The 13,426-nt window shown below is 39.6% G+C and overlaps 1 annotated feature.

The window, feature by feature from the left end:
- Positions 6,542 to 6,775: a silencer, noted in NCBI's record as "fragment chr6:125426552-125426785 (GRCh37/hg19 assembly coordinates)". NCBI's record gives its function as "represses an EF-1alpha promoter that drives an FKBP-Casp9 reporter gene in an ReSE screen in K562 erythroleukemia cells {active_cell/tissue: K562}" and the evidence as "EXISTENCE:reporter gene assay evidence [ECO:0000049][PMID:32094911]".

Genomic DNA, 13,426 nt, shown 5'->3' with positions numbered 1-13,426 from the left:
GTGGATAACTTGAGGTCAGGAGTTTGAGTCAGGCTTGGCCAACATGGTGAAACCCCACCTCTACTAAAAATACAAAAATTAGCCAGATGTGGTGGCACATGCCTGTAATCCCAGCTACTTGGGAGCTGAGGCAGAAGAACTGCTTGAACCTGGGAGGCAGAGGTTGCAGTAAGCCAAGATCACACCAATGCACTCCAGCCTGGGTGACAGAGTGAGGCACAGTCTCAAAAAAATTTTTATGATCTGAAAGAGAAATCCAACAAAGAGATAAATATGAAAAAGAATCAAACAAGTCTTGGAGCTAAATAATTCAATAAATGAATAAAAAATATAATCGAGAGCTTCAACAACAGGTTAGATCAAGAAGGAGACATACTTTTTGAACTTGAAGACAGACCTTTTGAAATAAGCCAGTCAGTGGACAAAAAAAAAGTAAAGAAGAGTGAATAAAGTCTATGAGACTTACGACACATCATTAACTGCACAAATATTTGCATTATAGATACGCCAAGGAAGAAGAGATGGAGAAAGGCACAAAATCCTGTTTAAAGAAATAATAACTGAAAACTTCTCCCAAGTATTGGAAAAGATATGGACATCCAGATTCAGGAAGCTCAAGAGTTTCCAAATAGATTCAACCCAAAAAGATCCTCTCCAAGGCACATTATAGTGAAACAAAGACAAAGAGCAAATTCTAAAAGCTGCAGGAGAAAAATGTCAAGTCACATATAAGGGAATCCCCATGAGACTATCAGCAGATTTCTTAGCAGAAACCTTGTAGGTCAAGAGAGAATGAGTCATATTTTCAAAGTGCTGAAAGAAAAAAAGAAAGTCAGCCAGTAACACTACGTCCAGAAAAGAAGAGGGAACTCATCACCACTAGACCAGTGTCTTAGTCCATTTGCATTGCCATAAAGAAATACCTGGGGCTGGGTAATTTGTAGAGAAAAGGGTTTATTTGTCTCAGAGCTCTGCAGACTATACAAGAAGTGTGGTGCCAGAATCTGCTTCTGGTAAGGGATTCAGGGAGCTTCCACTCAGGGCAGAAGGTGAAGGGAAGTTAGTGTGTTACATGATGAGGGTGGGACCAAGAGAGAAGAGAAGGTGCCAGATGGTTTTTGACAATTAGATCTCCTGAAAACTAAGAGTGACAACTCGCTCATTATTGGGGAAATGGCATCAAGCCATTCATAAAAGATCCAGCCCCATGACCTAAACACCTCCCACAAGGCCCCACATCCAACATTGGGGATCAAATTTCAACAGGATATGTGGAGGGGAAAAATATCCAAAATATGTCAACCAGACTTACAAAAAATTCTTAACAGAGTGTTACAACTAAAGTGAAACAACAATAATCACTGTCATAAAACCTAAAAGTATAAAACTCAGGACTAGGATAAACTCATAAATCAAACTCAGATTACCCCAGTTATGTAATGGTGCTATGTAAATCTTTTAACCCTCTAGTATGAAAGTTTGAAGCCAAATGGTCAAAAAAAACAACAGCTACTATTAGTAGCTAAGGGACACATAACAGATGAAGAAATACATTAAAGCAACAAATGTAAATTATTTGGGAGAGGGAGAGGGAGAAGGAGAGGGGAGGAAGTGTAGAGTATTATTATATGACCACAGTTAAGTTTCTAATAAGCTTAAAATAGTCTATTATATCTACAAGACTCTTTGTGTTACTCTATGGTAACTACAAAGAAAGAAATTACAGCACATACACAAATGAGAGAGAGAAAGGAAACAAAGTTTAACACTACAAAAAAACAAACCAAGCAGTAAACAAAAAGAGAATAGATCTACAAAACAACCAGAAACAATTAAGGAAATTGTGAAAGTCCTTATCTATCAATAATAACTTTGAATGTAAAGGAATTAAATTATCCATTTAAAAGATATTGAGTGATTGAATGGATAAAGAAACAAGACCCAACTATATGCTGCCTAAAAGAGACTAATCTCATCTTGAAAGACAAACATTGGTTGAAAATGAAAGAATAGGGAAAGATATTTCATGCAAACAGAAAGCAAAAGCAAGCAGAAGTAGCTATATTTACATCAGATAAAATAGACTTTAAGACAAAAACTATAAAAAGCGACAAGGTCATTATATAATGATAAAGGAATCAGTTTAACAAGAGGATATAACAATTATATCTATATATGCACCCAACACCAGAACACACAAATATGTAAAGCAAATATTATTAGATCTGAAGGGAGAGATACAGTGTAATACAGTAATAGGGGACTTCAACACCTCACTCTGAACAATGAACAGATTATCTAGATGGAAAATCAATAATCAATAAAGAAATATCAGATTTGAACTACCTTAGACTAAATTAACCTAACAGATATTTACAGAACATTTTATCTAACAGCTGCAGAATACATGTTCTTCTCAACTGTACATGGAACATTCTTCAGGATAGATCATATATTAGGCCACAAAACAAGTCTTAACAAATTTAAGAAGATAGAGATCATATCAAGCATCTTTTTGAACCACAACGGTGTAAAACTAGAAATCAACAAAAGAAACTTCAGAAACATTACAAATACATGAAAATTAAACAATATGCTCCTAAATAACCAACGGGTCAATGAAGAAATAAGGGGAAATCTACAAATTCTTCGAAACAGATGAGAATGATGAGCACATCATACCAAAATCAATGGAACACAGCAAAAACAGTTCTAAGACAGAAATGCACAGCAACAAATGGCCACATCAAAAAGAAGAAATATTCCTAATTAACAACCAAATCATGAACCTCAAAAAACTAGAAAAGTAAGAACAAATTATATTTCTTTCAAATTAAGTTGAAAGAAGGGAGGAAATAATAAAGCTCAAGGCAGAAATGAATGAAATAGAGACTAAGAAAATTCAAAAGATCAATGAAATTGATATGGTTAAGCTTTGTGTCCCGTCCCAAACCTCATCTTTAATTATTATCTCGTGTCGAGGGAGGAACCTGGTGGGAGGTGATTGGATCATGGGGGCAGTTTCCCCCATGCTGTTCTCATAATAGTGAGTGAGTTCTCATGAGATCTGATGGTTGTATAAGTGTTTGGCAAGTTCTTCCTTTGCTCACTCTCTCTCTCCTGCTGCCTTGTGAAGAAGGTCCCTGCTTCCCCTTCTTCCATGATTGTAAGTTTCCTGAGGCCTCCCCAGCCATGCAGGACTATGAGTCAATTAAACCTCCTTTTTAAATAAATTACCTGGTCTCAGGTAATATCTTTATAGCAGTGTGAGAATGAACTAAAACAGAAATGAACGGTTGGTGTTTTAAAAGATAAACAACATCAACAAACTTTTTAACTACACTAGCCAACACAAAAAAAGAAAAGATACAAATAAAATCAGAAATGAAAAGGGGATATTACAACTGATATCACAGAAATAGAAAGGATCATAAGAGACTATTATGAACTACTATATACCAACAAATTTGAGAACATAGAATATGTGAATAAATTCCTGGACAATACGGCCTACCAAGATTAAATTATGAAGAAATAGAAAATACGAACAAACCAATAGTTAAGTGAGGAAATTGAATCAGTAGTAAAAAGTCTTCTATCCAAAAGAAAAAAAAATCTAGACTTGTGTCTTCTCTGCTGAATTCTACCAACCATTTAAAGAAGAACTACCAGCCTGAGCAACAAAGCAAGACCTGTTTCTACAAACATAAAAAAATAAATAAAAATAAAGCTTAGCCAGCTATGGTGGTGGATGCCTATAGTCCTAGCTACTTGAGAGGCTAGGGTAGGAGGATTGTTTGAGCCCAGAAGTTTAAAGGTGCAATGAGCCATGATCACACCACTGCACTCCAGCCAGGGCAACAGAGTGAGCTCATATCTAAACAAATAAATAAATCAATTTTATGAGGCCAGCATTACCCTGGTTTCAAAATCGGACAAAAACAAAACAAAAATGAAAACTGAAGGCCAATATCCTGGATGAACATAGAGGCAAAAATTCTCAACAAGATAGTAGTAAAACAAATTCAACTGCACATCAAAAAGATAATTCCCTATGAGTAAGTGGGATTCATCTAAGGTTGCAAGGATGATTCAACATATGCAAATCGATAACCATGATACATCACATTAACAAAAAGAAAGACAAAACCTATATGGTCATTTCAACAGATGCAAAAAAAGCAGTTGACAAAAATCAACATACTTTATGAATAAAACTCTCAACAAATTAGGCACAGAAGGTGTGTATCGTAACACAATAAAGGCCATATATAACAAACTCACAGCTAACATCATACTGAATGAGGGAAAAGCTGAAAACTTTTTCTCTAAGACCAGGAACAAGACAAAGATTCCCATTTTCACCACTTCTGTACAACATATTAATAGTACTGGAAGTATTAGCCAGAATAATTGGGCAAAAGAAAGAAATGAAAAACATCCAAGTTGGAAAAGAGGAAGTATATCCTCTTTGCATATGACATATCTTACATACAGAAATACTCCACCAAATACTGTCAGTATTGATGACTACAGTACTCCTAAATACTCTACCAAAAACCTGTTAGAATTAATAAACAAATTTATTAACATTGCAGGATACGAAATCAAAATACAAAAATGAGTAGTGTTTATATATGCTAATAGCCAACTGTCAAAAAGAAATCAAGAAAGCAATTCCATTTACAATAGCAATGAAAAATAATATATCTAAGAATAAACTTAACCAATGGGTAAAAGATCTCTACTTGGAAAATTATAAACATCGATTAAATAAATTGAAGAAGACACAAATAAATAGAAAGATAACTAACCTGCGTTCGTGGACTGGAAGAATTAATGTTGTTAAAGTAGTCATACTACCTAAAGAAGCGGGCAGTATGAGTTCCTCTGTATGTGTCTGTGTTCTAATCTCCTCTTCTACACCAGTCCTTTTGAATTAGGGCCTAATACGATGACCTCATTTTAACTTTATTGCCTCTTTAAAGACTACACATCCAAACACAGTTACATTCTGAGATACTACAAGTTAGAACTACAACATTTGAATTGTAGGAGGACACAATTCATCTGTAACAAGTGGTAAGAACTGTAATATGACTATTACATAAGCTAGCTTCCATTTTTCCTCCCTACTTAATCTATGGATTGGCAGGTGGTGGCATTAACATTGTGCTCATATTTTACATCTGTTTCTTCACAGAAGGGCTCCTAAGGATAGTTTCACTTTTGGAACCAGGAAATTATTTTTTAAATTTAATCTACTTTTATCATTTATTTTACCAAAATACAATTTTAAAATAAAACATACCTTTAATATGTATGTCTATATATGGGTACAGGCATGTACATATATGTACATATACATATAGATACATACACTCACACCACCCATTGTACTGGGAGAGCAGCTTACTCTGATACCCTTACTCTACCCAAAACAAGATAAAACCTCAAAAAAACAAAACCATCTGGGCCAGATGCAGGGGCTCATGCCTGTAATCCCAGCAGTTTGGGAGGCTGAGGCAGGTAGATTGTTTGAGGCCAGGAGTTCAAGACCAGCCTAGGCAACATGGCAAAACACCATCTATACTAAAAATACAAAAATTAGCCTGGTGTGGTGGTGCACACCTGTGGTCCCAGCCACTCTGGTGGCTGAGCTATAAGAATCGCTTGAACCCAGGAGGCGGAGGTTGCAGTGAGCCATGATCACAGCACTGCACTCCAGCCTGGGTGACAGAGAGAGACTCTGTCTCAAAACTAACAAACAAACAACAACAACAAAAGGCAACCCTCTGGTTTGCACAGTTGGCCAGTTTTAGAAGTGTACTCTCATCTTTGCCAATTTCAAACTGCCAACTTGATGTTACTGAACATAGTCTAGAAGAGACTCTCATAGTCGACTCTCACAAACCGACAGAAGCAAGCTCTAGAACATACACATACACACGACTTATGTCTGGGGTGTGTGTGCACGCGTGTGTGTGTGTATGTGTGTGTGTATATGTGTGTATGTGTGTGTGTGTATTGGAGGCTAATGTAATTATTTTGCCTAAAATGTCTACAAAATTGTCTTATGGTCCAGGCATAGTGGCTTACACCTGTAATTCCAGCACTTTGGGAGGCTGGAGCTGGAGAATCACTGGAGACCACGAGTTTGAGACCACTCTGAGCAACATAGCAAGACTCTGTCTTTACAAAACCTAAAAAAATTAGTTGGGGTTGGTGGTGCATGCCTATAGTCTCAGCTACGTGAGAGGCTGAGGAGAGAGGATTACTTGGGTCCAGGAATTCAAGGCTGCAGTGAGCTATGATTGCATCACTGGACTCCAGTCTGGGCTACAGGGGGAGACCCTGTCTCAAAAAAAAAAAAAAAAAAAGCCATATTTACCTTTATTGTTATACTTATCCCAACCACCCTGTATTGATACCTCCTAGTTCCATCCTTTTACTTCAGCCATATAGAGGCAATCAGTTGCTAGCAAGTGTAATCAGTCAACACCTTTCCTCAGATTTCTGGTTACCTTATGGTTACCTATAGCTTTAAACACATTTGTTCAGCCTTAAAGAAATTTTTGGGTTGAAGATTTGGAGTCTTTTTTTTTTTTTTGGTTTAAGAATAACAGCACCAGCCGGGCGCGGTGGCTCACGCCTGTAATCCCAGCACTTTGGGAGGCTGAGGCAGGCAGATCACCTGAGGTTGGTAGTTCAAGACCAGCCTGACCAAAATGGAAAAACCCTGTCTCTACTAAAAATACAAAATTAGCTGGGCATGGTGGCACATGCCTGTAATCCCAGCTACTTGGGAGGCTGAGGCAGGAGAATCGCTTGAAACTGGGAGGCAGAGGTTGCAGTGAGGGGAGATCGTGCCATTGCACTCCAGCCCGGGCAACAAGAGTGAAATTCCATCTCAAAAAAAAAAAAGAATAACAGCACCAAGTTAAGTTGGACTGTTCATCTGGGATAGGTTTCAGATGAACATTTGATTGCCTTTACTACTTCTCACTTCTGTTCCTGGACATATGCCTAATAATTAGATTATTGCTATTTTCCAGGTCTTTGTATTTTATCTGTGGGGAATATAAGCAGTAAGAAAAATGTTCATCAGGGCTCTTAGCAAAGATCAAAGAGGTATTTGAAAGTGTTTTCTAATAATCTGGTAATTGTTTAACAACATGTGAAGTGTTCCAATAGAAACTTCTTATTGCCTCCAGTGGACTTAAAAAAATCAGATTCTGCTTTCTTTTTATTTTCATAGTTACTATTAGTCTAATACTGAGTTAAGTTTGAATGCAAAGTAATAGAATATGAGAACAATTGGATCAACCAATCCTCTTTAAAATGCTTTTCATTTAACAAAATGCCATCAGCATTTAGCCACACAGCAGATTTAATACCCAGTCACTGTGAAGCAACTCAGAGAATAATGGAATGATTTGGAGTGCCGCTGGTGGTTACAGGAAATTTTACAGTGATGTGTTTGGTGTTTAGCTCACAGATTTCTTCCTCAGAAGACTGAATGGTTCTAGCAATGAGCTAGCAACATGACTCCACAAGTTCTTTGAGAAGCCTTTATTCGTGTTGCACAGGATTTCGGCTTCTGGCCTCCTGGAGTTAATTGCAGCCACCAGTCTTTCCTGCAGAGCCAGCTGCTTTTTATGGTCAGAGGAGATAAACAGAGGCTCAATAGGAGATCTATTTCTAGGCATTGAAAGGGCCTCTGTGCCGCTGGTTGAGGGGAAAATCATCCAATCTCCCTCATGAAATGCCTGGACCATTTCTTGGGGCTGTCCTCCTTAAACTGGCACTTCCTGTACCCAGTTTAAATAGTAGATAGGCTAAAAAATATAAGCCTTAAAAAGTCTTAAGGTATGAAATCATGTCTAACTGAGCAAAACAACATTCAAAGTTGGCAAGCTAATATGTGTTCATTCAATGTTGAATTAATGGCCAGTATGGGAAGCATATTAATTGGGGGCGGGGGGGAAAAAAATCACAATTATAACCCAGCAGTTGTCAATAACATTTTCTGGGTTAAGAGTGATTTGCTTGAGGGAAGGGGGAAGGGAGTTTCCATTCATTGAATACTACTTTGGGCTTCCTACACGAACGGTATCCAAAGTACACTTATTCCCATTTTATAGTTGTTAAAGCAAAATTTAACTTTATAAAATTGTAAAAGAGGATTATAATTGCTGTAGTTTGATTTTATTGCATATTATTGGTTATATAATATGGTATAAGTATATGAGAGAGCTGGTTCCCCTCATAGTCAAGGGAAGGAAATTTGGCTCCAGGGTTGAGCACCTGGTCCGAGGCTGCAGCACCCAGGAGGAGGCACAGAAACCAGGTTTTTCGACTCCTGAATCAATGCTCATTTCACTACCCAGACCACCTTATTTATATGATGGAAGTTTCTTGATTAGGAAGCAAGTCAATAACAAAACCCCTAGTTTCAGTTGTAGCATTAAGAATAAATATCTTCTTTCACAATGATTTTTATTTCTGAAAAGAAATAGCCTTCTGTCAAGAAACAATGCACTTTTAAGATATTTTTCACTATTACCAATTGATTACATAAAAATGCATACTGTAGAAGGAGATAGAACGATTTGATTCCAGCTCTAGGAAATAAATGTGCTGCTCAAATGATTTTCTAATAAGATAGCATCTGCTTATATTGCTATTTAAAAACTATTTAGGTCCATTTAAATTAGTTAGAATCACCTTCACAAATAGGAGTGTGCCTTTAAATTCAATGCATTACATATGGAAATAGGTTCTCTAAGGTTTACAGACTTTTGAATTTTAGTGTAAGATGTTGTCGCCTTTGTTCTGTAATAAAAACACACACATTTTCTAGAAGGAAAACTCTGCCTGTATCAAATTGGTTGTATGTCCCCTGCATCCTAAAACCAGATTATTCCGAGGAACAGTGGATGTGGAGTGGGTTTTCTACCATGGAAGGCTGGGGTGCTCCCTGGACTGTGCTGTGGCCTGTCCTAGGGCCCCTGCTATTGTTGGGTTGGCTGTCCCAATCCTCCAGGGAAGTCCATATAGGGAAGAAGGGAATGTGTTCTTTCATTCCTTCAAAAATATTTGTTGAGTCATTGATTACTATGTGTTAGACACTGTTCTAGTTACGGAAGCAGCACATACCAGACATTTTAAAGTCCCAACAACCCTTTCCCATAGGTCTATTATAATTTTATAGATGAAGAATCTGACATACAAAGAGATTAAGTAACTTGCCCCAGGTCCCTGAGCTAAAAGGTAGTAAAAACTGGAGCCTAAATTTGTATGGGCCCAATGTCTATGTTCTTTCTATCATGTCTAGTGTACATGTGTATATATATATATGTGTGTATATATATATACACACACATACACACACACATATATGTACACACACACTTATATATATCACATTTAGGACATACTTATACTAAAAATTACTGCTTGTCTATCTGAAATTAAAATTTAACTGAGTGTATTATATTTAATTGGGCAACCCCTTGGAAGTGTTTTTCAGGGCCAGCAATGAGGCAACAGGATATTATCACGTTTCCCTTATTTCTTTCCTTTGCATGTTTCAAAGTAAATTGCATACACACAGAAATTCAAAGACGCTTTAAGAAATCTTTTGCTCAAGAAGAACAGTATTTTGTTTTGAAGGATGTAATTGAAACGAGGAAACTAGGAAAGCATGCAGCTTTCCTTCCTTTTTTTTCCCTTTTCCTTCCTCTCTCTTTTCTGTTATTACTCTCTTTCTTTTCTTTTACTTTTTACTTCCTTTCTTCCTTCTCCCTTTGTAGAGCACATATTAAGGGCCAGGACTTGTGCCCTGTTGGGGATAATTGTCCCTGCCTTGAAGGAACACAAAGACCTGAAGGAAACTGTGAAAAGTGCTGTAATAGGTTGAATGGTGTCTTCCCAAAAGTTAATGTCCTCTTGGAACCTCAGAATGTGACTTTATTTGAAATAGGGTGTTTGTGGATGTAATTGTAGTATTTAAGTGAAGGTCTGTATTCCTTTGTTAGGGCTGTCATAACAAGGTACCACAGACCTGGAGTGGGAGGGACTTAAACAATAGAAAGTTATTTTCTCACAGTTCTGGAGGCTAGAAGTCTAAGATCAAGGTGTAAACAGGGTTGATTTCCTCTGAGGCCTCTCTCCTTGGCTTGCAGTTGGCCATCTTTTCTTTATGTCTTCAGCATGAACTTTCCTCTGTGTATGCCTGTGTCCCAATCTCCTCTTATGAGGATGCCAGTCATATTGGGTTAGGGCCCACCCGTATGACCTCATTCTACCTTACTTAGTTCCCTGTGTCAAGATTCTATCTCCAAATACAGTCACAGCCTGAGGCTGTGGGGATTAGGACTTCAACATATGAATTTAGAGAGAACACATTTCTGCCCCAAAGATGACACTGGATAAGGTTGGGTCCTATATCCAATGACTGAAGTGAAGTGAAGATACAGCAAGTCAAAGAATGCCAAGGATTGCTGGCAACCACCAGAAGCGAGGAGAGAGACAAAAAACAGATTCTCCTTCAGAGCCTCCAGAAGGAAACAGTGCTGCTGACACTTTGATTTCAGACTTCAGGCCTCTCTATGAGAGAATTAAGTTTGTTGTTGTAACCCACCCAGTTTGTGGTATTTTGCTACTTCTACCCTAGAAAACTAATACAAGTGCCTTGCTCAGTGGTGATTTACAAAGAGTCCTTAACAGAGGGGGCCATGGTGATGCACCCTGGATGGTACAGGCAGGATGGCATCTAGCAGGAGAAAATGCTGGGGCTGAGGACGATGGAGAAGTAGGAGTTAGGAGGAGGAGGAGGAGGAGGAGGAGGAGGAGGAGGAGGAGGTAGAGACCCAGCCTATGGGAGTATGCAGATGCACAGCTGCTTGACAGGGCCTGTCTGGATTACAGAAATAATAGAACTGAACAGTTGGAACTAACTTTAAATATAGGTTACATGGACCCACATTTCATTGCTGAAAGAGATCTTAGAGACTACCCTTGCACTCCTTGATTTTAGACCAAAGTCTGGGAAGGTATGTGGCTATGCCAATATCACAGAGCAAATTAATGTAAGAATTCAAGATAGGAATCCATTTGTCCTAAATCTTTGCCTAGTACTCTCCACAAGACCAGGATTGGAGCCCAGCCTTCACCAAGATCCACATACAGGGTATGTCTAATAACACAGGAGGGGCCCTAAACATGCTTACTACTACTACTACTACTAATAAACTGAATAAGTAATGTTGAATAAACTTTCAATGAATTGAATGTCAGAAAGAAAATAACTGGTATTATGCTATGTACTTTCATATACACTGTCTCATTTGATGGGAACAAAAACTTCTATCTGTTGTGTTATTATTCCCCAATTTCCAATTACTCTTTTAGAGTTGCAGATGTCAAAGGACAGTTTGGGTACCCTGCCTCAGAGTCCCTGGTTAACAAGAGAAGGGCTCTGAGAAGCAGTCTAGCTTGATAGCTCAGGGCTCCCAGGCCCAGGTTTAGATCACACCTCTGTCCTTGCAGACTCTGTGATGGGGGAGGTTATTCAGTCTCTGTCAAGGCTAATAAATAATGCAACAACGGTGATTCTAATAGTTTAAAACGGATCAGGATACCCTGATGTAGTGGGAAAAAACTTGCCCTTGGTATTCAAATCAGATTGATGATGCAACTCTGTCCTGACTTCACTTTCCTCATCTCTGAAATGGGAATAATGTTTATCTCATAGGGTTGTGAGGATTTTCCAGGAAAATCGCACACAACCCCGCACGTTTCTACTTGTTAAAGGAACTCAGCCGAAATTCTTGCCAGCTTTCGTCCCGACCCCATCCCCAGGGCTCCTCCTGGTTCCTGGTGGGCCCTCTTTCCTAGTCTATTTTTTTTAACTTTCTCTTCGTTTTGTCTTTCCTTTCTCTCTCCCTTTCATCTCCTTCTCCCCCCGTTACTTTTCTTTTGGGTTACCTTTTTAATGAGATGTAGAAAATGTATCAGCAGGTTTATGAAAAGTGAACTGGCAGATGGAAGATGTCACCATGACACTGAGGAAAACTGTTTTCTAACCCCCACCAAAGTAATTTAATTTACACATTTACTTCCTCAAAAAAAGAAAAAAAAAAGCTTTTATGCTTTCAGCACGCAGGCAATGGAGACAGCCTCGGGTCGTGTTGCCCACACGCAGGTGCTGCTAGCTGCCTCCCAGTCGCTCTCCTCGCGCATCTTCCCAGGGGACATCCGCCCTCCCGGGACTGTGCTCCGGACAGCGGGGGAGGGCAGAGGGAGGGGCAGGGAGGTGACAAGCAGCGCCCCGCAGTGTGCACCGTGCGCTTCACTCCGCGCTCCTCTCCGTGCACCCAGACCCAGAGCAGCCCCGCCCGGCAGCCAGCACAACTGCCCCGCGCCACAGGCCGCCGGCCTCTGCTTGCCAGGGCTGCGGGGGAAGAACATGCCCCCGTGCACTAGCTCCGCGTTCCCGAAGGAAGGTTTTCGCAGCCATGGGCAGTGGGCCTTTAGTCTCCCGCTCCGTGCAGTGGGAAGGGATCAACTGAGCGGCGCGGAGCCATCAGTGGTCTCTGCGTGGAGGCTGCAGCCCCGCCGACGCCCTCGCCTTCGCCCTCGCCCCCGCCCCCGCCCCCGCCCTCTATACTGTGGACAAAGGCAATCCGGATTTGTTTTTGTTTTCGTGGTTTTCTTTGTTGATGATGGGAGCTGGAAACTGGGGAGGAGAGAATTTTGCAGTTGTGAAAGGGCATCTCTCTCTTCCCTTACTTATTATTTTCTTCAAAGATAACAGAATTTCCCCATGGCAGGAACCGCAGACTGGCAAGCAGGAGACCTGAGTTTGAGTTGAGCCTTTGCTATGTGACCTCAAACAAACCATTGAACTGTATTTTTTATTTTTTATTTTTTAGTTTAGCTGGGCTTAGCTTTGTTGTTTTCTTTCCCACATTGTTTATAAAACGAGGATACTAATAACACCACAGAGGGGTTGTAAGGATTACATACACGTGAACAGACTATGTGAACGCATAGTAGGCGCTAGATAAAGATTTGTTTTGAAATTATCCATAACAACACCTCCAATATAAGGAATAAGAGACCTAGGAAGCCCAGAGAGGGCAAGTTAGCATGCCAGTTGGAGGATGAAAACCAAGGCTGGAACTAAGGTTTCCCATTTCCAGCTTCGTGTTCTTCCCATTTCCCACTCTTCCGCTGATTCTAACCTAGTGCACTTACAACTCTGGAGAAGGGAGACCCAGTTGGAATCCCTGGCTTCACCATTCTGAAGTTGAGGCGTCTTGGGCACGTCTCTTATAAAACTTTTTTGTTTTATAGTTTTGTAATTTGTTCCTCAAACGTTTCAATGCCTATGATGTACCTGCCAGTTACCATAGACGGT

The sequence above is a fragment of the Homo sapiens genome, chromosome 6 (assembly GCF_000001405.40).
Source record: "Homo sapiens chromosome 6, GRCh38.p14 Primary Assembly".
NCBI lineage: Eukaryota > Metazoa > Chordata > Mammalia > Primates > Hominidae > Homo > Homo sapiens.
The sequence above is the reverse complement of the archived record's forward strand: the minus strand, read 5'-3'. Positions and strand labels throughout refer to the sequence as shown.